Source organism: Homo sapiens, chromosome 10, assembly GCF_000001405.40.
Source record: "Homo sapiens chromosome 10, GRCh38.p14 Primary Assembly".
NCBI classification, from domain to species: domain Eukaryota; kingdom Metazoa; phylum Chordata; class Mammalia; order Primates; family Hominidae; genus Homo; species Homo sapiens.
In genome coordinates, this window is record NC_000010.11 from 108,156,085 (window position 1) to 108,180,654 (window position 24,570).

Here is a 24,570-nt window from a genome sequence, read left to right on the forward strand (position 1 = left end):
AATAAGCTAGATGAGATAAAGCCATCTCACAACTTTGAAAATAACATTTGCATTCTAAGCATAGTAAATAATAAAAGTCATATGCTAAACCTAATAGTTCATGAAGTTAGAAGGAACCTGGTTCCTAGGTAGCTCTACCCATCCTGGGTTACTTACCAATGAAATACTTATAACATGAATAAAATTATTTAATTGTTATAATAACCATATTTTTGTTATTGTATTAACCCATTTTCACACTACTGATAAAGACATCCAAGACTGGGCAATTTACAAAAGAAATAGGTTTAATGAACTCAGAGTTACATATGGCTGGGGAGGCCTCACAATCATGGCAGAAGGTGAAAGATACGTGTCACACGGTGGCAGACAAGAGAAGAGAATGACAGACAAGCAAAAGGGGTTTCCCTTATAAAACCATCAGATCTCATGAGACTTGTTCACTACCATGAGAACAGCGTGGAAGAAAACAACCCATAATTCAATTATCTCCCACTGGGTCCCTACCACAACACCAGGGAATTATGAGAGCTACAATTCAATATTGGGTGGGGACACAGCTAAACCCTATCAGTTGTATACAGATAAATATATATGATTAAATGTTAATATATCTTTTTATTAAAAAATTTAAAAATTTAAAAAAATATAAATAGTTTCCTAAAAGAAGAGTGGAGGAATATGTGTGCAATTAAGTGTGCAATTAGGTTAATAAAAAGGAAATTTTAAAATTTGGTTCTTATATTAAAATACTTAAGGACTAATGCATTTGCCAAAAAAGGTGATAAAGTCTGCCTAGTACTTTGTGGAAAATGAGTCATTTGTAAAGATATTTAAATGAATGAATTTTCATTTACTATTACAATAAGTCTAATGTGTTCACCAAAACTATGATTTTTAGCAATATGCAAAGAGTCAGCATTCAATCCCATCTCTACTTGAGTTACAACTAAATATTGACGGCAGAAAGGAAACTTGCAAAAGAGAACAGGAAGTTATCTGTATTAGTTTCAATTATACCTTTAGTAATAAGTAGTTTGACCTCCCTGAGCCTCAAATTCCCCATGTTTAGCTTAGAAATAAAAAGCAGTCAGCTTTGTCTATCTCTTTTTTTGTGACAATCAAGTCAAGCACTTTGTAAACTAAAAAATGTTATACAGATATGAAATTGAGTTTTCTTTTTGTTTTGATTTGTTTTGTTTTGTTTTGAGATGGAATCTTGCTCTCTTGCCCAGCTTGGAGTGCAGTGGTGCAATCTTGGCTCACTGTAATCTCTGCCTCCTGGGTTCAAGCAATTCTCCTGTCTCAGCCTCCCGAGTAGCTGGGATTACAGACGCCCACAAACATGTCTGACTAATTTTTGTATTTTTAGTAGAGATGGGGTTTCACTATTTTGGCTAGGCTGGTCTCAAACTCCTGACCTCAGGTGACTCACCCGCCTCGGCCTTCCAAAGTGCTAGGATTACAGGCATGAGCCACCGCACCTGACCGAAATTCAGTTTTCACTATACCAAAATTATTCTGTTATTTCTATTTGGCTCCTCAGTGTCAAGATATTTCTCATTCACTTACTCATTAAGGAAATGATTCTTAAGAGACAGAACACTGAGGATACTGCTGAGAGATGGAGACCTCCTTCTTGACTTGCTGGAATTTGGAAGTCTAATGGGAGAAAGAGACTCAAATAATCACATAAATAGACTAAAATTTGAGACTGTGAGAAGTACTGTGGTAGATTTAAAAAGGGAGGTGTGAGAGAATACAATTCTAATTTGTTCTGATTATTCTCGGCTGAATTTAGTCATTGTGTGTCTCAGTTTGTCCCAGCAAGATCAACTTTTTTATGACTGTAACCTCAGAAGGAGGTGTGCTTTGTATGTGCTTCAGTTGGAACCTATGTCTGAATTTAAAACTCCTCTGATTGTTGTTTACATTTTACATTAAAAATTTTGCCTAGTAAGATCCAAATGATTAGCATAGAGGGAGAAAACAATGCAGTGCTTTACTATCCTATAAAACATCACCAACAACTACTACTTCCAAAATTTATTCAAAAAGAGCTGCATCTCCATGCCTGCCTACTATTGCCACAATTATTTATGCAAAGTACCCACTGAGAAGCAATCAAAACAGTGATTATCTGAGCATTTTCACCAGCAAGGTGAGGTCCAAACCCCAGAAAAATGATGGCTCTAAGAGCTGAGAGTCTAGAATATTTATAAGCTATGCTTCAGAGAAGTCTTGAATTAAGCTCATGTTTTCTTTTTGCACCTCTTGGCAAGAGATAAAAACTTCTCTGTAAATATCATAGTCATGAGTAGTGGGAAGTTTTGCTAAATTTTCTGGATGGCTCTTATAACCAAGCAGCCTCTCCATTACCAGAATATCTTTTCACAGTCTGGAAACTCAATCATTTTCTTTCTTTTTTTTTTTTATTATACTTTAAGTTCTGGGGTACATGTGCAGAATGTGCAGTTTTGTTACATAGGTATACATGTGCCATGGTGGTTTGCTGCACCCATCAACCCCTCACCTACATTAGGTGTTTCTCCTAATGTTATCCACTTAGTAATTTTCAAAAATATTGCATGTGTACCTCCAATCGTTTAGTTACAGATATATGCCTAGTGAAAAAAGAGTTAAATCTCAATAAGGATTTATCTGGAGCCCTCTGTTTATTAACTATAGGCCAAATAGCCTTAACTACAGTACGTCTTCCTCTTCATTACATGCACAATTATATGGCCTTTGGCAGAAAAACCCCCTCCATCATATGTCTAAAATTCCCAGGATAGGATGAAGATTCTCTCTAGTGATCTTCTGTACCTCCTGGGCTGTAGTCTTCTCATTTGTGTTTCTTGTTCTGTACCACACAGTTCCATACTTAAAATTCATCTCATTAATGCTCTACCTGTATTCTAATCTTATATAAACATAACATTTATCAGTCCATGGAAGATATATGGGGCACAGTGACAGGGCCATAATATACACCATACAGCAAACAAATAAAGAAACGTTATTATGAATGATTAATATATCTAGCCAAAGTAAAGCAATTTGTGCCCATTGTGTTAAAAAAATAATGAACTGAAAGAGACATGTGAAAGCCAACTGTTTAAAGGTGTTATGCAATGGGCAATGTAGGACAGTGATCACGAGAAAAGGGGAACAAATGGAATGAGCTACAACATTGCCAGGCTTTCTAGCAAAAAATCATGTTTTAGATGATAGAAAAGGCAGGGAAAACCAAACAAAATACAGCAGCTTTTTCTAAGGTGATTACACAGAGTTTGTAGTTCTGGGTAACTTGTAGGTACCTTAAAATGTGGTGCAAGGTACAAAAGATGATGGGGGATTTATTTGCAGAAGGATTTCCAGAAAATTGCTTAGGGATCTCTTTGAGTTTTGGACAAAAAACAAAGCTTTGTATTCACAGGTAAAATTTAAGAATTCCAGAAAAAAAGAATAATAATTAGGGAGAAAAATCATCATCAAAACAACAACTGCCTGGGAGAGATATGATAAGTGAACAAAATAACCTTCAAAATTTGCACAGGGTCTGACCATGGAATGGGAAAACATCTCATTGAAAAGACAAAGTTTTCAATAGAAATCTATAAAGGTTTCTATTGAAACCTTAGAAGGATACTACCTTCTAAGTAGTATATCTAGTCATGGAGCACAAGCAACTAGAAATTTATCTTTAAAAAGTGTAAAGGCAAAATTTTAAGGAATCAAGTTGACCTGCAAGTAACTGAATGGACAGCTAGACCAAACTTAAGACTCTATTAAGGCAGATAGAAAACTCAAACAATCAACAACGTAACAATCACACTGTCAAACAAAAATGTCCTAGAAAAATAAGCAAGAACACATGACCCATTGACCCATTCTTTACTCTTGACATTGATGAGAAATGTCATCCAAAAGATAAAGGCTTTAAATTGGCAAAGGTATGAAAATAGAAGACAAGGGCACTAAGCAAGCTTTACACACATTTTCAAGGAATTGTAAAAATGTATAATTATAATGAGAAAAATAGGGAATCATGGTAGAGAAGTAGAAACTACAAAAATCAGCAAATACAAAATATAAACTAATAAACACAGTATAATATTTTTAATTTAAAACATTTGTTGGATTGGATTAAATTTTCAGTCACCAAATTCTGGTCATGGACCAAAGCTGAAAAACTCATTATTTTTAAATAAAATTATGTTTGGAACACAGCCACGCTCATTAGCTTACATATTGTTTTTGGATGCTTTGATACTATACATCTCCAAGAGTCTCAACAAACCCTAAATATCATAAAGAAACTATTAAAATCATAATCAGACAGCTGAGAGCCATAGATAAAGTGAACATCTTGAAAGCAGTAAAAGAAAAGTGACATTATTGCATAAGGGAGAGTAAGTATTTTTAAAGTCTAATTTTTCATTATCAACAATGGACCCTCAGCAAACACCTGGCTTGCTATATATCCCAACAGCCTTCCATTCAAGTGATAGTTGACCACACTGTTTGAAAAACATACTCCTTGATTCGGGTTGTTCCTTTGATTCTACTTCATAACTCATATGACTGCTCTACCTATTTAAAAATTTTCATGGCAAAAGTTTTTCATTCCTCTTTCTCTGTCCTTATGGGCCTCTTTTATTCAATAGCTGTACTTATAAAATATCTAAGAGTAACTATTTACTTATTACCAATCATGCTGGTGATGGCTTAAAGTCAAAGTGACAATAGTATGCCAGTTGATTTATAATTTATAATGACATACTTTTGTGTGAACACACAAATATACACACATATACATCCATAGTATAAAAAGAATAGGAAGAATAATAGATGATAGATAGATGCATGCATAAATACACACAATTTTATTAGATCATATTGGAAGTAATAGTAAGTCAGGATTAACTTGAAGTTGATTGCATAGTAAGCTAAGGATACAGATTGTAAATCTTAAAGCAGTACTAACAACAACAAAAATTACAGAGAATTATAGTTAGAAAGTCAACAGAGAAATTAAAATGTTATATAGCAACATTTTTCTCATAAGGGACAGCAGTGAAGGAAGAATGAAAGGAAAACAGAGATGAGACAAATTGAAACAGAAAAATGGTAAATGTAAATTCAACAATAAAAATAAATAATTTTAAGAGGACTAAAGCACTCAATCAAGAGAGACATTTTCTTAATGAATGAATTAAAGATTATAATAACTATACACTCTATATACAAGGGATGCACTTTAAAATTAAAGGCAAGATATAATGAAATTAACAGGAGTGAATATGAAAATATGCAAACTGTAAGTACAAGGAAGGTGACATGGCTACAGTTGGATCAGACTAAGCAGGCTGACACAAGAAATGTTACTAGAAACAACAAGGGACAGTTCAAAATCAAAAGATGGTAAATAAAATAGGAAAATATAACCATCATAAATATATAATCTATAAGCAAAGTAGCTCCAGAATAAAAATAAAGGTAAATCAACAAAGTTGAATATTTCATAATTTCTCTCAGTAATTGATAGAACAAGTAGACAGAAAATCAATAAGGATATAAGCCTTGAACAACATCATCAACCACCTTTCTACCACAGCAAACTTTAAGTGTACATTGAGCACTTACCAAGACAGACCATATGCCAGGATATAAAATGTCTCAATGTATTTTAAAGATTGAAAGCATACAGAGTTCGTCATCTGACCATATGCTAACAAATTAAAAATCAAAAATAAAAAGAAATCTAGGAAACACAGAAATCAAAACTGGTAAAAATGTGTAAGAAGCATCTAGAGTAGTGCCTGAAGAATAAAAATAAAATGACATGAATGCTTATTTTAGAAAAGAAGAAATATCTAAAAACAAGCTAGAGGAAGGACAGCAAATTAAACTTGAAGTAAATACACAGAAAGAAATAATACATTTTGGAGCAAAAATTGACAAAATAGAAAACAGAAACGTAATAGAAAGCCTCATTAGGAATATCTATAATAAAAGAGGGAATACCATATTTACAGACATTACAAGGAAATAGAATGATATCATCAAAAATTGGATGCAAATGCATTTCATAACTGAGTTTAAGTTATTTGAAAGATAAAAGTTACCAAAATGATATAAATACATATCAAAATGTGATTATATATAAATTAGTGGTATATACCTAACACAAGGGAGAATGGAAGTTTTTTCAAGAAATAGTATTCAAACAATTGTATTAACTGAGATGCAAAATCTAAAAATGAAACCTAAAATATTAAAACTCTCAGAAAAGAATACAGAATACTTCACAAATGTGAGATATACAAAGATTTCTAGGAGGGGACACGAATGGCAAAACCATAATTTTTAGAAAAGGTTAAAAAAAAGTAAACTGTTACATTTTGTTAAGTGAGTAAGCCAGGCACAGAAAGATAAACACAGCATGGTCTCACTTACATGTGGAACCCAAAAAAGTTGAACTCATACAAGTACAGAGTAGAATGGTTCTTCCCAGGGGCTAGGGATGTGGATGAGAGATGTTTGTTAAAGTTTACAAAGTTTCGATTACACAGAAGGAACAAGATCAAGTGATCTATGATATGACATGGTGACTATAGTTTAAAACAATGTATTACATTATTGAAAATCACTAACAAAGCAGATTTTAAGCTAATTAAGGGCTAATTAGCTCAATTTAGCCATTCTAAAATGCATATATATATATTAAAACATCATGTTATACATGACAAATACATAGACTTTTTATTTGCCAATCAAAAAACTAAGTTAGGGGAAAAAATAAACTGGACTTCACGTACATTAAAATTTCTGCTCATCAAAATCATTATTAGCTGTGACAAAGATAAGACATAGTCTAAGAAATTACTTTCCATAGACATATCTGAAATAGGTCTTGTACCTAGACTATATAAAACACCTAAAGATTAGTAATAACACAGGAAAAAAATCAAATAAATAACATGCCCAAAAGAAATGAACAGATTTTACAAAAGAATAAAGTAGGCCAGGTGCGGTGGCTAATGCCTGTAATCCCAGCACTTTGGGAGGCTGAGGCGGGTGGATCACCTGAAGTCAGAAGTTTGAGACCAGCCTGGCCAACATGGTGCAACCCCATCTCTACTAAAAATACAAAAATTAGCCGGGTGTGGTGGTGGGTGCCTGTAATCCCAGCTACTAGGGAGGCTGACGCAGGAGAATTGCTTAAACCTGGGAGGAGGAGGTTTCAGTGAGCTGAGATCACACCACTGCACTCCAGCCTGTGCAACAGAGCAAGACTCAGTCTCAGTTAAAAAAAAAAAACGATAAAATAAAAAACAATCACAGAAACACCTGTTGATGAGAATGTGGAACAACTGAAACTCTCATAACAATGTTGGTAGTATATAAAATGGGAAATCATCATTTGACAATTTTTCAGCTTTTTCTCGTAAACATATCCCTACCCAACGGCCCACTATTATGAATTTATCTAAGGGAAATAAAAATGTGTGGTTACTGAATGAATTGTAAAAGAGTTTTAAAGCTCTTTATTTAAAATGGAATAACCCATGTCTATTAATTAGAGAATAAACATATCATGTCCTATGCATATAAAGAAATATTCTTTGGCAATAAAAAGAATGAACTACTAATAAACACAATAACATTGATTCACCTCAATTCATTATGGTAAATAGAAACAGCCAAGACATAAAAATTATACCTATTTCATGATTCAATTTGTTTTTAAATAAAGTTCAAGAACAGACAAAGTAATCTATGGTGACAGCTGTCAGAACAGCAGTTGCCTGTGGTCTTATAGGAATTAATATTAAGTGGGTACAAAGAGACTTTCTGGGCTAATGGAAATGTTCTTTATTAGTATTGATATATTGTCTACCTAAGTCAACACTCGTAAAATCATGTATTTAACATGTACTTATTTTACTTTATATGATTTAAAGGAAACAGGATTATTGTAGTGGGCTTAGTCACTAACTGTGCCTCAATGGACTCGTCTATCAAATGGTACTATTATCATGACTGTCTGATTCATCTTCAGAGACGGGAAGGTTAAATGTAATAGACACTGTACAAAGAAATATCACGATTTCATCATTGTCTATCTTCTGGGAAAGTTAGAGATTTTATCTACTGTGTTCTGAGGGTTATCTGGGGTGCAACTTTATTTATTTTGTGTTATTTAAAGTTGTACTTGAATGCTTTCTATATTTACCCTGTTTTCAGTTATTTAGTATTCTGGTATTTTTCTTGCAAATGTTTATTTCTATTTTCTCCCAAACTCCAAAAGACATTTAAAATTAAGAATGGATGAAACAAACAAATATTGCATTTCTACATAAGAGATGAAGTGAACACGCAAATAGCCACTTCCAGACAGATTAAGCCACCTCAGTAAGTGCTATTTCTAAATCAGATCACCTCATATATGGAGACAGGGAATGCTACGAAGCTGCTTTTGAGACATCACTCAAATATCAAATACCAAAGTACTTCCATACAGTAAAAAATATGCCTGACATAGTGTGATATTCCCAAAGAAGAAGCTCTTCTGGGACCTAACAAGCAATATAGATACTCATTTATTCTCTTATTACCTGACTCTACCAATCTGTCCATGAGAAACAGCATACGTATACATTAGAGTAATATTTAGATTTTGGAGGACCGGAGCTACCCTTAGAAACCATTGAAGAACATAAATTGCATTAATTATATCCTAGATTCTCAGATGAACTCCCTGAAGAAGTTTTATAACTTGCTATTATTTAGAAAAAGCATTTAATTAATCTGTACTTCTGCAAGGAAGAGGTTGTACCACAGACCAAGAAAACCTGGAACTCAATTCAACAACAAAGGGAACAGTCGAGATGAAGGAGGTTTAGAAAATGGAATGAATCGGGATCACTTGGTCTTTACAAATCCTGTTTCTTCCCATGACTCCAAGAAAGAAGACACCTCCTCACCAAGGACCAGGGACTTTCTGTCTTGCAGAATGCTTTGTAGGTTGGAAGAGAAAGATTTCACTGATAACTATGTAAAGATGAATTGTTATGTAGAGGAACATAAAGATACTGAATATAATAAAATTCTACAAGATTAGCATTCAAATGGGCATTATGCTGTAGAAATCAGATTGTTATGCAGGAAATATTCACTCTTTCCCTCTCTTTTGCATAGAAGCAATATTTTCCCCTGCTCTGTTGGTGTTCAGTTCAGCCACACAACCCCTAACTTAGGAATCTGAGAAGCTACTAAGAGATAAAATTAAACAACAATACTATAATAGTAATCCTTATTTAAGAGCTTCTTGCCTATAATTCCCAGTTACTGTCCGGAGTTTAATATCTTAGCAGGACACACATCAAGTGTAATTGACACACCATGGAACAAAATTTCTCGACGTTTGAAATTTACTAGTATGTTGCTCAAGGTTTCTCTTCTTCGGGCTAAGAATCCCTAATAAATTAATTACATAGTAATTATTTGAGGATGTACTATGTTCCAGATCCTAAGGTAATAATTTAACATAGTACTTGCCCTTATGAAGCTTATGGTCTTCTATTCTAATATCAACTAATACTCATAGTTAAAATATTTCCCATTCAGATATCTCCAATTACTATAAAAATACCACAGTCAACACACTCCTAGATACTTATGCATATAAAGTCATATAAGACATAGTTTCTGCCCTCAAGGAACTTGTTGACTGGTTGAACAGCCAAAGACAGTTTCTTCATTTATTTCTTTTATCATAAATTTCCCAAGGTAATTAGCTATGTGGAGTATATCTGGCTAGTATACCCTCCTTTCTCAGAGTTATAGAAGCCATCTACAATTTGGATAAATACTTTGAGAATGAATTTTAATTACAATATAATGTAGTATTCAGCATTTATGAAACATTTAATATTAATGTACAGCCTGGATATTGACATGGAAAATTTTTGTGAGACATTCAAAGCCTGTTTACTTAAAGCACAATAATTGTTGCTTTATTCTGTTTGCTGGAGTGGTTTCCGTGATCTTCACTGCCCTTTTCCCTGCATGAGGCCTCCCAGTATTCTTGAGACTGTTATGCAGATGCTAAATTTTGAGGTATCAGAGAAACACTCTCAGCAATTCACTCTCTCTTTCTTACTGTTGGCTACACTTGAGGTTAGTGTGGCTTCCTAGTGTCAGGTGCCAGAAGGCACAACATCATGTGACCTACCCCCTCTCCAGCAAAGTCAGCACACACATGGAAACCTTCAAATATGCCCACTGGGACGGAGAATGTTTGTTGGCTTCTATTCTTCTTCCTCCCGTAACTATTTTGAATTCCTGACTTCACCCTCTTCTTATTGAGTACGCTTACAGGTTCTCAATCCATTCAGTTCTTCTATCTTTTCCTCTTTCTATATTAACAGATTGCTCCATGTTTTGATATGACTGTTTTTTCATGAGTCACTGCTCATGGTGAATCGTCAGCTCTGCAAGGTAGGGAGAGGTTGGCAATGCCAAGGCCATCGGTCATCATTTGTCAAGCAAAGTACGTGCATTCTGTTACCTTTTCAGACAGGCCTTCCCTGACCACCAGAACTAAGACAGCGTCCCAGCCACACCTTTCTCACATGACCTTGTTTAAGTCATTGCCTGTTTCACTATTTGGAATCCCCGTGTCCATCAACTTCTTTACTTCTTCTCTGTATTCCTTCAGCTCCCACCTGTTTCCCACCTCTAATTAAAATGTAAACTCTAGGGAAGCAGAAGCTCTGCCTTAGTTGCCTCATTTTCCAGCACACTCCCACCTGGCACACAATCAGTAAAGAGTAACTATTTGATGAATACACAGATTTTCCAATTTATTAAACATATTAAACCAGGACATTCTTTTCTTTACAACGGTTCATAACCTATCAGTCATTCTAGGCAAAGTCCTCATTCTCAAAGTGCACTTGTATCTTAAACATCTCATTTTCTCTGAAAATAATTGACAGCAATCATTTACTCTTAATTACTTACTAGATTTGGCTGCTCATCATCTTATGCCACTTTCTTTTTAAAACTATGAAGTTTGAACACCTGAATTTCTCTAGCATTCTCAACATTTGTTTATACAATATAGTAAATGCTTGGGGGGATATGAGTGCAAGGAGGTCAGATAGAGATATTTGAACCGCAATATTATTCCTGACGTTCAGGCTTCAGAGGAAACCTTTAATTTTTAACCATTTTCTCAGTACTTTCAAAAAATAAATATTTTATGTTTACTATAATAAATCTCCCTTAAAAAAGAGTCTAGTGACCAAAACTGATACTAAAGCTAATTTGGCTCTAAGACTTAAACATTACTTTGTAAAAACCTCTAAAAGATAATTCCATTAGAACTCTATAAGAATTTTTTTAATGGAAGTCCTCTGCAATGGGGAGACATTTAGGATGAACTAAGGACTATGTGTTTTTTTCTTTTTTCTTCCCTGCTCCCCCATCTCCCATGAACACTATTTAGTAAATTTATCTTATACCATAGCCAAAGGTTTTGCATTTTATATGGCTATTGTATCACAGTTATAGCAACAAATGCTGCTTTCCTATATCACAACATTCCAGTACAATTCCATCACACAGAAGCAAACACTACAAAAAACTCTTAAAAGATCTTATTTTTCAGAATAACCCTATAAATATACAAACTTATATACAATTGTAATTTGCCAATATCTAATAAATAAATGTAAAAGAATAGATGTACCATCATTAGAGCATTTCATCCCCTGAAGAGAGTAATATGTTGTTCAGATTAGATTACCTGCTGACGCATAGCTCCCGCTTGAGGTAGCAAGGTTTTAAGGAAATGGTTTCTGCTTGTTAATAATGACACCAACTGGGATGAGAGCTAACATGTTTTGAAAGGTTTCTATGCACCCAGCTCTCTGCTAAGCACTAGGCATACATACTTCACTTAATTATTACAAATCTGAGGGCAGGAATTTCTATCCCTTTATGTAAGTAGGAGAGGTTAGATAATTTTCTTGAGACAACAAGTGGAAAGCAAAGCCAGAACTGAAACCCAGGCAGAAAAGAAGAGATGGGGACTAGAAAAATGCCCAGCAGAGGCCCATGAGAGCCACAGGGAGCCAGGAAGAAAAGCCATGCCTACATCCAATGAAATATTAACAGAAACTTCACCTAACTTCACAATCAGAAAATTGACAATGGTACCCCCATTTTAAACAAATTCAGTCATCAAACGATAAAAATCCATGCTGAAATCCTAAAGCTGTGTATTTAAACGAGACTAATTTCTATCCATGAGGCCAGCAGTCTTGAACATTAACCTGAATCAGTCTGAGTCAATGACAACACATAATGGCAAATCAACATGGTTGCTTGCATGGAATTCAGGATCAATTTTGGGAAACTACTTGTTGATATCAGATCTTGAAAACTCAGTTTTCTCTTGTTCAGGGTATTATAACCAACTGAATTGTCTTCTCAAAGGACCTCATGATTTCTTATTAAGTGGAAATAATGTTTTAAGCATTAATCACATTCTTTCAAAGATTTTCCTTAAGTAAAAAAGACTCTGGAATTAATTGAAAGATGAAAGCCAGTGGAAGATACTTTTCTCTCATATCAATTATCTGTCATCTAAAGGCACTTGACTGGTAACTGATACAAAGTAGTCATAAATATATGAAGATGATTAATCTTTAATTTACACTTTAAGAATTTTTAAATGTATTTTTAATTACCTTATTACAGGCAAACTGAAGCTCCATCAATGTGTTTCTTCAACTATGATCCCTCATTTTGGGAGCCCGTAAAATGCTAATCTTCTCCTTACCTCTTCCTATAGTAGAAGGATTTAATAGTGTGCTAGTAAACTACCATATATTTAAATTTTAGGGTACTTGAATTGCTTTCTTAAGGAAAGTAGAAAAATGTGACAAGTAGAAAAATATTTCCAGATACAATAAGAAACAGTCTAACTCCTTAAATGTATGTGCAGCCAGGAGAACCATAGGATATATAAAGGCAAGTTAGCAGATATTTTGTTTTCCTTTTTGTCTTGAAAGGGAAACAAAATTGCATTAATGAAGCCAAGGTGGAGACATTGTGTCTTGCATAAAGATGTCTCAACTTTCAGAATCTTTCTGGGAAAGTGAGCTTCCCCACAGTCATTTAGATATTTATTCTAGTTTTCTTAACCTTGAACTTACTCCATTAGAGTCACAAAATCTAACAAAGTAATCTAAACAGATTTGTTGCAAACAAGTCTTTGACATGCAAAATGGATTTTTGTTTTGCCCTACCTAGGTCTTATGTTTCACTATTATTAAAAATGTCAGTAATATTTTGCCCACTGGGAACACATATTTTCCTTCAATTTTTTCAATCTTATTCAAAACCCCTTATTGAATATTTTACAAGTTACAGCGGATCTTTGTTATTGCTTTTTCAAATTACAACCTCTGAACCCTATGTTGGTATTTTGCTAAACGGTTTATGCTCATGTAGAGTTGTGAAGCATTATTAGAATAAAAAATGAGAAAACCATTCTTAGATAATTATAATTTTGCATTTGACCTTCAGAATAAAAAATAATACAGCTTCATCAAGGGAGCAAGCCATAGCCCTCCACAGCCCATGCACATCCTCAGCGCACAGCTGCCCTTTTGTTGTGCACCATATGATCCACGAAATACTTTATCATCATTTTTGTCTCTCCCCTTCTCGTCCCTCCTCCTGTCCCACATCCATATAGCATTAAGAAACCTATTAATTAGGGTCACGTGGAGACAATTCATTTGCTGAAAGTCTCCTCTTATCACTTTGCCTTAACTGTGTGTTTACTATGAACTTATAAATTTGTACTGTGTGTCTTCAGAATGCTAAGGCTGCTGTAAGAACTGTCAAATTTGCAACTGAGATAAATTAAGGAGGACTCAAGGGAACAATGAAACAAAAAACTTGGCAGAAGGAAATGAGTGGAGGAACACAGAGATGTTAGAAATTTTATTTTAAATATTTGTGGTTTGTATAATAGTTTTTAGAAGAACTGAAAAGCATTACATGAGATAAGATATATATGTACCAATAATATTCATTTGTGTGTGCTTCCTTATTCATAAATTTAAACTCAAATATATATTCATGCATATATTCATATCTATATCTAGATATTTAAAAAAGTATTCACACTAATACCTGCAATTTCGTTCCAACACCAAAGCATTTATTTCAGCTTCTGGTTTTCTACAACTTGGACTTTCTTCTCTGACAGAGAGGAACCTAGCTGTCATTCACAATACATTCACTTATGTGCTCAGCTCTGAAATATACAAGTCATTGAGGAATGTCTGACCCATAACATTGTGGAAAACAGGCTGACTAATAAAGTCATTATTTTAAAAACTTTTTTGTCTTCAGTCTGAGGATATACAGTAAAAACACAGCGTCCAAAAATTAAAACTTCTTTATATAATTAATTTGAAATACAGTTAGATTCATGTATTTCTATTCCTATCCCATTTCTCCCAAATCCTTGCTGATTTTATTATTTAGTTTTTAAAATAGAGCATGATTCTAAAAGCCAAAGCTATGTTTTAAATGATGCACTTAGAAGGAGGGTTATATCTCAATCCTTTCCATCTCAATCCTCTCCCTCCATTCATCCCACTTCCTTTCCATCTCCAAGTCCTTTCCATCCAGTTTCCATACATGCCCTGGAGGTAGTCCATCTCATAAATTTGTAATGTGTCCTTTCTCTTTGTGCACAAATGAGTAGACACATTTCCCCCCCCATATATTTTACACAAAAGGTAACATATATAGTTGTCCTTTGCACTTTGCTTTTGCAATCAGATGTACATCCAGGAAGTAACTCCTTGTTAGTTTATGGAGAGCTTCCTTCTTTTTTATAAAGCTGCATAGTACTTCACTGGATTTATTTATTATAGTTTATTGAACTACACCACTATATATAACATTTTAATGTTTTAATTTTTTGCCACTATTTACAAGCCATGCTGCACTGAATAATTGTGTGTTTGTGTGTACATGTGTAGAATGTGTTTTCTTGGTAAATTCCTAGGAGTGGAATCAGTAGGGAAAAAGGTAAATGTGTATGTAGCTTTGTATGATATTGCCAAATTTCCCTCTCAGAGTATTGTATAAATGCGTCTTCCCACCAGAAATCGATAAGGTATGAGAATCCTCTTCTTCCTATAGTTTGGCCAATAGAACAACAGAAGGTATCGTTATATCTCTCTGTATCTAGATAAATAGGTAATTGATACAAATATGTATATATGTCAATAATATCCAAACTAATGGACTAAAACAGGTTTTATAGTTTTATTAATAAAGCAATGCATTTTAGTGGTTGAATTCAGACAAGAACTAGCAAGTGAAGAAGAAATGTGGTAAGGCTATCTAATATTGATCAAATCATTCCCACAACTATTTACTTTTTCCTAAACATTAGCCTTTATCAGCCTCTTCCTTTCTTTCACACATACCCTATTTCATCTTTTTACAATATTTTAAGATGTCATAATTTTGTACGTTAAAACTGATCAATTTTAAGGTAAAATTTGATGAGTCTTTATATATGTATATATTTGTGTAAGCATAATCATAAACACTGTATTGAATATTCAAATCTCCTAAATAAATTTCCTCATGCCTCTTGGTAGTCAATTCAACATTTCTGTATCCAGTCCTTAGGGACTAGAAATCTTATTGCTGTCATTTTATTATTTTCTTTTGTAGAATTTGGTATAAATTAAATCATACTCATACATAATTCATTCTTTTGTATATCCCTTCTTTCATTAGGAAGAAGCTTTTAGGATTCCTCTGTACTATTGCACTGTGGTTTTATTCCCTTTATGCTCAGTTGAAATCCATTGGATAAATATACCACAATGTGTTTATCTATTTACCAGCTGATGAACATTTGTGACATTTCTAGCTTTTAGCTATTGTAAATATCTGCTATGAATATTCTCATATCACTTTTGAATGTATGCTTTTATCTGTCTTTGGAAAATACTTAGGACTGAAATTACCATGTCACAGAATTAGTGAATGTTAAGTTTTGTAGGAAACTACTAAAAAGCTTTCCAAAGTGGCTGTGTCATTTTGCATTTCTACCATCAAAGTCGGAGAGTTTCAGTTGCTACACATGTTCATCAACACTTGATATTATATATATATATTTTTTTCGAGATGGAATCTCACTCTGTCACCCAGGCTGGAGTGCAGTGGCGCAATCTTGGCTCACTGCGAACTCCATCTCCCAGGTTCACGCCATTCTCCTGCCTCAGCCTCCCGAGTAGCTGGAAAAATGAGTAGACACATTTTTCCCCCATATATTTTACACAAAAGGTAACATATATAGTAGTCCTTTGCACTTTGCTTTTGTAATCAGATATTCATCCAGGAAGTAACTCCTTGTTAGTTTATGGAGAGCTTCCTTCTATTTTATAAAGCTGCATAGCACTTCACTGGATTTACAGGCGCCCGCCACCACGCCTGGCTAACTTTTTGTATTTTCAGTAGAGACAGGGTTTCACCGTGTTAGCCAGGATGGTCTCGATCCCCTGACCTCGTGATCCGCCCGCCTCGGCCTCCCAAAGTGTTGGGATTACAGGCGTGAGCCAAAGCGCCCGGCCTATAATTTTTTTTTTTTTTAAAGTAGACATTCTAGTGGGTATGTACAAGTAACTCATTGTGGTTTTCATTTGTATTTCTATAATGACTAATGATATTGAGTATCTTGTTATGCAATAATTTTCCAAATATTTTCAAATAGTTTAAAACTATTTGTCCATTTATAAATTGATGTTTTCAATTTATTGAGCTGTAAGAGTTCATCATACATATGAATACTAGTTCTTTATCAAGTGGGTGTTTCCTGAATAATTTTTCCCATTCTATGGCTTTCTTTTTCATTTTTTGAAGTAGTTTACAAACATTTATTTTATGAAGTACACATAACCTTTTTAAACCTTTGCCTAAAACATGGTCACTAAGACTTTCTCCTGTTGTTTTCTTCTAGAAGTTTTATAGATTTAGCTCTTAAATTTCAATCTATGATCTATTTTGAGTTTTTTTTTTTTAATTTAGTGTGAGCTAATTATTAAGGTTTCCTTCTCACTTAAAAAAATATGTATATCCATTTGTTCTAGCGCAATTCATTTAAAAGCCTATCCTTTACCCCCATTGCTTTAGCATATTTCCTATAAGGGCTATATATACAGATACCTATATATGTATATATTGGTGTATATATATATGTATATGTATATATTGGTCTATGTATATATACATATATACATATGTATATATTGGTCTATTTTTGAATATACAGTTTACCCTTAAACATTGTGGGTTTGAACTTCAAGGGTCCACTTAAATGTGGACTTTTTTCAATAAACCTCTCCTGCAACTCTTTCCATCCCCCCACCCTTCTCCTCCTCAGACTTCTTAACGTGAAGAATGAAAATCTTTATGATGATCCACTTCTACTTAATGAATAGGAGACACATTTTCTTTTCATTGTTATTTTCTCAAAAATATTTTCTTTTCTCTAGCTTACTTTATTATAAGATTACAGTACCTAATACATATAAAACATATGTTAATGAACTATGTTATCAGTAAGGTTTCCAGTCAACAGTAGTCTACTGGTAGTTAATTTTTGGGGGAGTCAGAAGTTGTTTGTGGATTATGACTGCACGGAGATCAGCACCCCTAACCCTTACATTGCTCAAGGGTGAATTGTATATTCTGTTATATTATATATATATATATATCATTATACCAATACCACATAGCTCTGATTACTATAGCTTTATAGCTTTGAAATCAAATACTGAAAGTCCTTCAACTTTGTTCTTTTTCAGAAGAATTTTATTATAATAACCTTTTGTATTTCCACATAAATTTTGAATGAGCTTGTCAGTGCTACACAATGACTGCTGGGACTTTGTGATTGTGTTGGGGAAAATTGACACTTTAACAATGTTAAGTTTTTCTGTTCATGTCATGGTATATCTCTCCCTGTGGTGGTTAATTTTATGTCAATTCGACCGGACCATGCAGTGCTTAGATATTTGGTCGAATATTATTTCAGGTGTGTCTGGGAAAATGTTTCTGCATGAAATTAATATTTGAATTGATAGACCGAATAAAGCAAGTTGTCCTCTCTACAGTGTCTTCCCTTATGCAATCAGTTAAAAACCTACATAGAACAAAAAGGCTGAGCAAGAGAGAACTTGTGTTTGATTGCCTTCAAGCTGAGACATCCGATTTTTCCTGCCTTTGGACTTATATGGAAATATGGAATTTTCCTGGATCTTGATCCTGCTGGCATTTGGGTTGATACTACATCCTTAGCTCTCCTCATTCTCAGGCTTTTGAATTCAGGCTAGAACTATACCCTCAGCTCCCGGGTCTCCAGACTGCCAACTGTAGATCTTTGGTCTTGTCAGCTTCCATAATCATGTGAGCCAATTGAGCCAATGCTTTATAGTAATCGTTTCTCTTCGTTTATATGTGCATACACACACACACACACACACACACATTCTTTTACATAAATATTCACTATTTATCTGAGAATTATTCACTATTACATTCCATTTTAGTTGCTTCTCTGATTTTTTTGATTCATGTTTTATGATTTTCAGGATACAGATTCTACACAAGTTTTGTTAGACTTATACCTAAGAAGTTTCTATTTGTGAAGTATTCTAAGTGGTATTTGAAAAATTTGAAAAATATTTTCCCATTACTCATTTTTCATATGTAAGATACAATTGTTTTTTAATTATTGATCTTCTATTCTGTGACTTCGATGAATTAACATACTATTCCAAGCAGCTGATTTGGAGATTTCATAGGATTTTCTGCATGAACAATTATGTCATCTGAGAATAAAGGTAGGCTTAACTTCTTTTATTTTGAATGTAGTGCTTTTTATTTCTTTCCTGGCCTTATTGCACTTAGTATATCTTCAACAAAATATTGAATAGGAATGGTAAGAACAAGCATTCTTGTCTTGCTTTCAACCCTGGTAGGAGAGCACTTTACCTTTCATTATTACGTATGATGTTAGCTGCAGATGTTTTAATAAATGCTCTTTATTAGATTCAGAAAGTTTCTTCAATTCTTAGTATGCAGAGATTTTTTATTATCAATGGGTGTTGAATATTGCCAAATACTCCTTTTGAATTTATTAAGTGTATCATATGTTCATTGTTGTCATTTGTTACTGTGGTGAATTGTATTAATTAATTTTCAATTTTTAAACTAAGTTTGCAGTCATGGGATATACTTCAACTGATTATGATATAATATTTTTATCTGATTCTTAATATGATTTACTAATATATCATTTAAAAATCTTTTTGCATATATGTTAGTGAATGTATTGATCTTTAATTTTATTATTATGCCTTTATTTGATTTGAGCATAAGTGTAATGCATGACAATTATGGTGTTTCTAAAATTATTTTTACCTTGCTTTAAGTTGATACTGACAAGTATCATGATTCTGCTGGATCAAAGTATTCTTTATTTTTCCTATCAGGTATCAGAACTCTCTTTTATCTAAGGCCATATTTTCTTCTGGCTGGGCATTGCTTTCTATCTCAGCAGGCAGTAGACAAGCCAACTTACAGCCCAGGAGCCCTGTGATTGGCTGTCACCAGGGACTAAGCACTATGGCCTAAGGGTCCCTCTTCCCAGCCCCAGCATCTGTCTTTCTGTGCACAGAGCCCATTTCCTAGTCAACATCTAGTTTCTTGCTGAGGTATTTAATAGATCAGAAGAAGATAGTTGATGAAAAATTTACTATAATTTCAGGCAGCCCAAATACCTTTTGCTCTTAAGAAGTAAAATTAAACTTCTTTCTTTCCTCCGTTTTCCTCCCCAAGTCTCCTCCCATTCCTTCAATGTCTCACTTCACAGAGTAAAAACTTCAGAGATAGAAAAGGCTACAAAAGCAATCAGATTTTTGTTCTAACTTAGAACTCTGCAAGTTCATCATATTGATGACAGCAGGGAAAGAAGAGGTGGGTTGGTTGCCCTGCTGAAACATTAATTTCGATTGAAAGGAGTAGAAATACCAGCAATGTACAGGCATAACGGCTCATTGCCAAGATCGAAATGACTTTTCCACGCAATTGATAATATCTCAGATGGTGCACCATTAAGAGATGGCAACCTAGTCCACATATAAATTCAGTATGTAATCCAAATTTCTATCTCTATATTGATAGTGTATGTACCATGTCTGAATCTAAACTCATACACAGTACACCTCTCCCCTCTCAGGGTTGATCTTAAGGATCTCAGGGGTCATTCACATGACGAACTCAATTTTTTTTTTTTCTGGATAATTCTTGAACATCTAAGTATGTAATAAACGTTAAAATATATATCAGAAGAGAGATAGCCTTTTAATATTATATTTTGCAAGCCACTAACCTATTTTATTCAATGGTCAAACTGCATGTCTCCAACTTCACTCGTATTTAAGGACTTTTGCACCTGCTTTTCACATTTTCCCAAATATATTTCTCCTGATCTTCCCATGGCAGAGTCTCTTATGTCAATCAGGTCTCATCTCAAATATTCCCTCTTTAGAGAGCTTTCCCTGATCACCCAACCAAACATCCCTAACACACAGCCCCTCTCTGTCAACTGTATTAAACTTGATTAAAATAATAATATCTCAAATTGTCTTGCTAAATGAGATGTTAATATTGCTATTTAACACCATGACCCAAAATGCATACATACACAATCTAGACCATAAAACCCTAAGAAAAGCCATCTTCTCTGTATTACCTAAGGCTCAATTATGAGAAGCTAAAACAGTGCCTGGCACATAGTAGACTCCTAAAAAACAATCACTGAATACATGTATGAGTGGGTCATCTAATAATCAGATTATTAGTTATATAGCAAAATGCATTTTCTGTTGATTACAGTAAGCCAAGACTCCAATGGGAAATAAAAACAGAAAGAACTAACTAGCACCTGCTCCCATTTGGGAGCCTCTGAATTTCCGTGACTTCATGGCACATTGCTGGACTTGTGTTTCTACCACCCAAATGGGCCCTTTCTCCTATTTGTGGGGCTGTCCAGTATCCACTTAGAAGCATTCTAAGTGCCCAAAGGAGGTAATTAAGACCAAGAAATCCAGAGAAGTGCGTATTTATTGTAAGTGCTATCATATGTTGAGTTTTCTCTTTCTGACACAATGCTGGATGCATTTCATCCTCACTCATCCAATTTCCCACTTTATTCCCGAGGTAACTGTCACTTGCCTAAGTTGACACAGTTAGTAAAACAAGGAGCCAGGATTAAATCCACAATGGAATAACTGCTATAACCCCTGATGTTAACCACTGTTCTCTAACATGCATTGATGAGTTGGGGTAAAAGAACACCCATTAGAGGTAGTGCAGCCGGAGTACACATCACATTTTCAAGGAATGCTATCCTCAGTTTCCAATTTGGAATCTATTTGGTGTTTATTTTTACTTTCTCTTCTATCATTTTTTATTCTTCTTGGCATGCCATTTATTGCACACAAGCTATCCCCTTAACTTTAATAAAGGATAGGCCATTTCTCATAATAGTTTCATTAGGTACATATTTAATAATTGATTTTTTTCATTTTTGAGATCACTTTAGAATATAAAGAGATGCACAGATAGTTCCTAGAGTTCCTGTATATGTTGTCCAGCTTCTCCTAATGTTACTTTCTTACATAACCAGAGTACAGTTATCTAAACTAAGAAATTGACACTAGTGTAATACTATTCACTAAGCCATAGACTAGAATTCTATAAAGCTATAAAACTGGAATTAACTAGTTTTCCACCAAAATGATTTTTCTCGGTTTCAAAATATAATCAGTCTAATCAAAGACTCCACCTTGCATTTAGCTGGCATATTCCCTTAGTTTCCAACCTATGACAATTTCTCAGTCTTTCCTTGTTTTTCATGATTTTGAGATTATTAAAGTCAGATATTTTGTGGTATGTCCCTCAGATTGGGTTGGTCTGAGGTTTTCTCATGATTAGACTGATGATACTCATCTTAGGGCAGAATACCATAGAGGTGATGTGCTTCTTTTTGTGCATTATATCAGGCACATATTGACATTATGTATATATGTCTTATTGCTGGAGCTGTCACCCTGAGTACTTGGCTAGGTAGTATTCACTATAAAATTAGTGTCTTTCCCTTTGTTGTTAGTAAATATTTATTGCAGAGGGCAATAGTTTGAGATCATGCAAATATCCTGTTTCTTCTTAAACTTTAGTCAACTGAATTTTGTAATTATTGGTAGATGTTGCCTAAAGCAATTATTACTGTCTTTTTCTAATGATAATTTGTCTATTTCCTTCATTTGTTCCACATGTATTAATTAAATTTCTCTGCAAGAATAAGTTATTTCTTATCTCCTATTCACTGATTCATTTACTTATATAGTAAGGGTTTCATGATATTTATTTTACTCTTCTGATTTTTATCCAACACCGTCATTATTTATTTTGTTATTTAAATTATTCTGGCTTTGGCCATTGAGATCTCTTTCAGGTATTTTTCCTGATTTTTCAAGTGGGTAAACTATTTAAAAGTTCATTTCCTACAAAGAAAAATTAGAAAGCAGCTTGGAGTTGAGGATCTAGGAAAACTTGTGTGGACCTATTGCTGCTGATTGGACATACTGCTGTGAAAACATAAATGGCTCTCTTTGGGTCTCAGTTTCTTCATTTGTAAAATGTGGAAGTTGGACTACATAATAGTTTATTTTCAAATTCTAGTGTTAAATAATTGTGAAGTATAACTTTGTAACATTAATTCTAGAGTGTAGAAGACTTTCTTACCTGGGAGATGTTGGTGGCAATTAATAATTTCTTTTTAGGGAGCATGAAATGGAAGGAGGAAAGGGGACTGAAGTCACATATTCTTTGAAAACACAGCCACATTTTGCTTCATCCCTTTAATTTTTGTTTGTTCCCAATTTTTAGTTTGGATTTCAGATTATGTTAAGAGAATTTTATTTTTTTTAAAAGTTAACATTTCTCTAGATGCTTTTAAAATGTAATTGGTTCTCAACACAGTAAAAGTTATCACAGCTGCAAAGTGAGTTTGTTTAGTAGTTTTCCAATTTTTTGATGCCAAGGCCTATCTTTATCCCTTCTTATCCACCCCCACATTTTCACATGGTGTACTCTTTCACTGCATTATGTTTCAGCTTCCATGTGCCCTGTGCAGGGGACCTTCCCCCACCTCCCTATGAAAAATGGCATTCCTCTTCAAGTACTGTCACTTTCTCCCCCAATACAACTTCCTCTTCCTTTATAGTTCTTATCACTAGCTGAAGACGCAGTCTTTGCTTGTTAGTTATTTATGCAGTGATTGATTCTTTGCCCGACTATTCTATCTGCTTCATTTTTTCTCATTTAACAATTTCGTACACTTAGCAGTGTGATTCCCTACCATCCAAGAATGGTGAAAAGTATGGTATAGGGATTAAGGGTATAAGGATCGTGTTCTTTTTTAGCTTTCATTACCCCTCTCAGTGCCCTTTTCTCTGTGTCTCTTCCACCCTCTCTCTAATTGATAAGGGGAGAGGTGTTGGTAATAATAATAAAGTTCATTTTTCTGAATGTTAATAAAGACACTGTGAGTGAGGATTAATGACCTTAATAAGTACTGTCAATGATCTTAATAAGTATTGTTACCTTCTTATTTTTATTCAGTAACAGAATAACTGAATCAAAAGAATAAATAAGTGATTTAACCAAGCCCACTCAGAAAATAAGAGTACTTTCAGTGGAAAGTCCTGCAATGTCTGTAATAGTAATATCATTTATATGTGTAAAGGCTTTGTAACAGTCCTACTAGCAATGTTAGTAATGACAATAAAACTTAAAATTTTATAGTTACCTATGATCTAGGTTACTGTTTTTTAGATTTTATTGTAGTAAGACATTTAATACTCACTGAAACCCTTAAAATAGATTTAGCAATTGTCTATTATGCAGAGATATTTAGACATATTATCGAAACTAGTTATCACGTAATCTCTGAAAGTAAGCAGAGCTGTATTTTTTAAAAATTATCTCTATCAGTGAAGAAGAATCATACTGATGATATAATGAAGTCAAACTCAGAGAAATGAGTGAAAGAGGATGGATTACAGCTTTAACTGCTGAGTTCTAAAAGTTTAAAAGATAGTTCTAAAAGCCTTCTCTCAGAATTATCAAGAGAGTGTTCCCTCTCTGCAAACTAACCATAAGACCGAGAAAAAATACCAGAGTCATCAAAGGAAAAACATCTTTGGGAAAGAGTGGGGGAAGGACATTCATGCCACTGGCCACACCCAGGGTTGATACCCAGCAAGGTTCCCAGTCTCAGGTCAGAAACATGCAAAGCCCCCTTAAGGTTCTCAGGCTTAGGGAAAGTAGAAACAGACCACATCCAAGGTCATTTACCAAAGAAGCCTCCAATTATTTTTG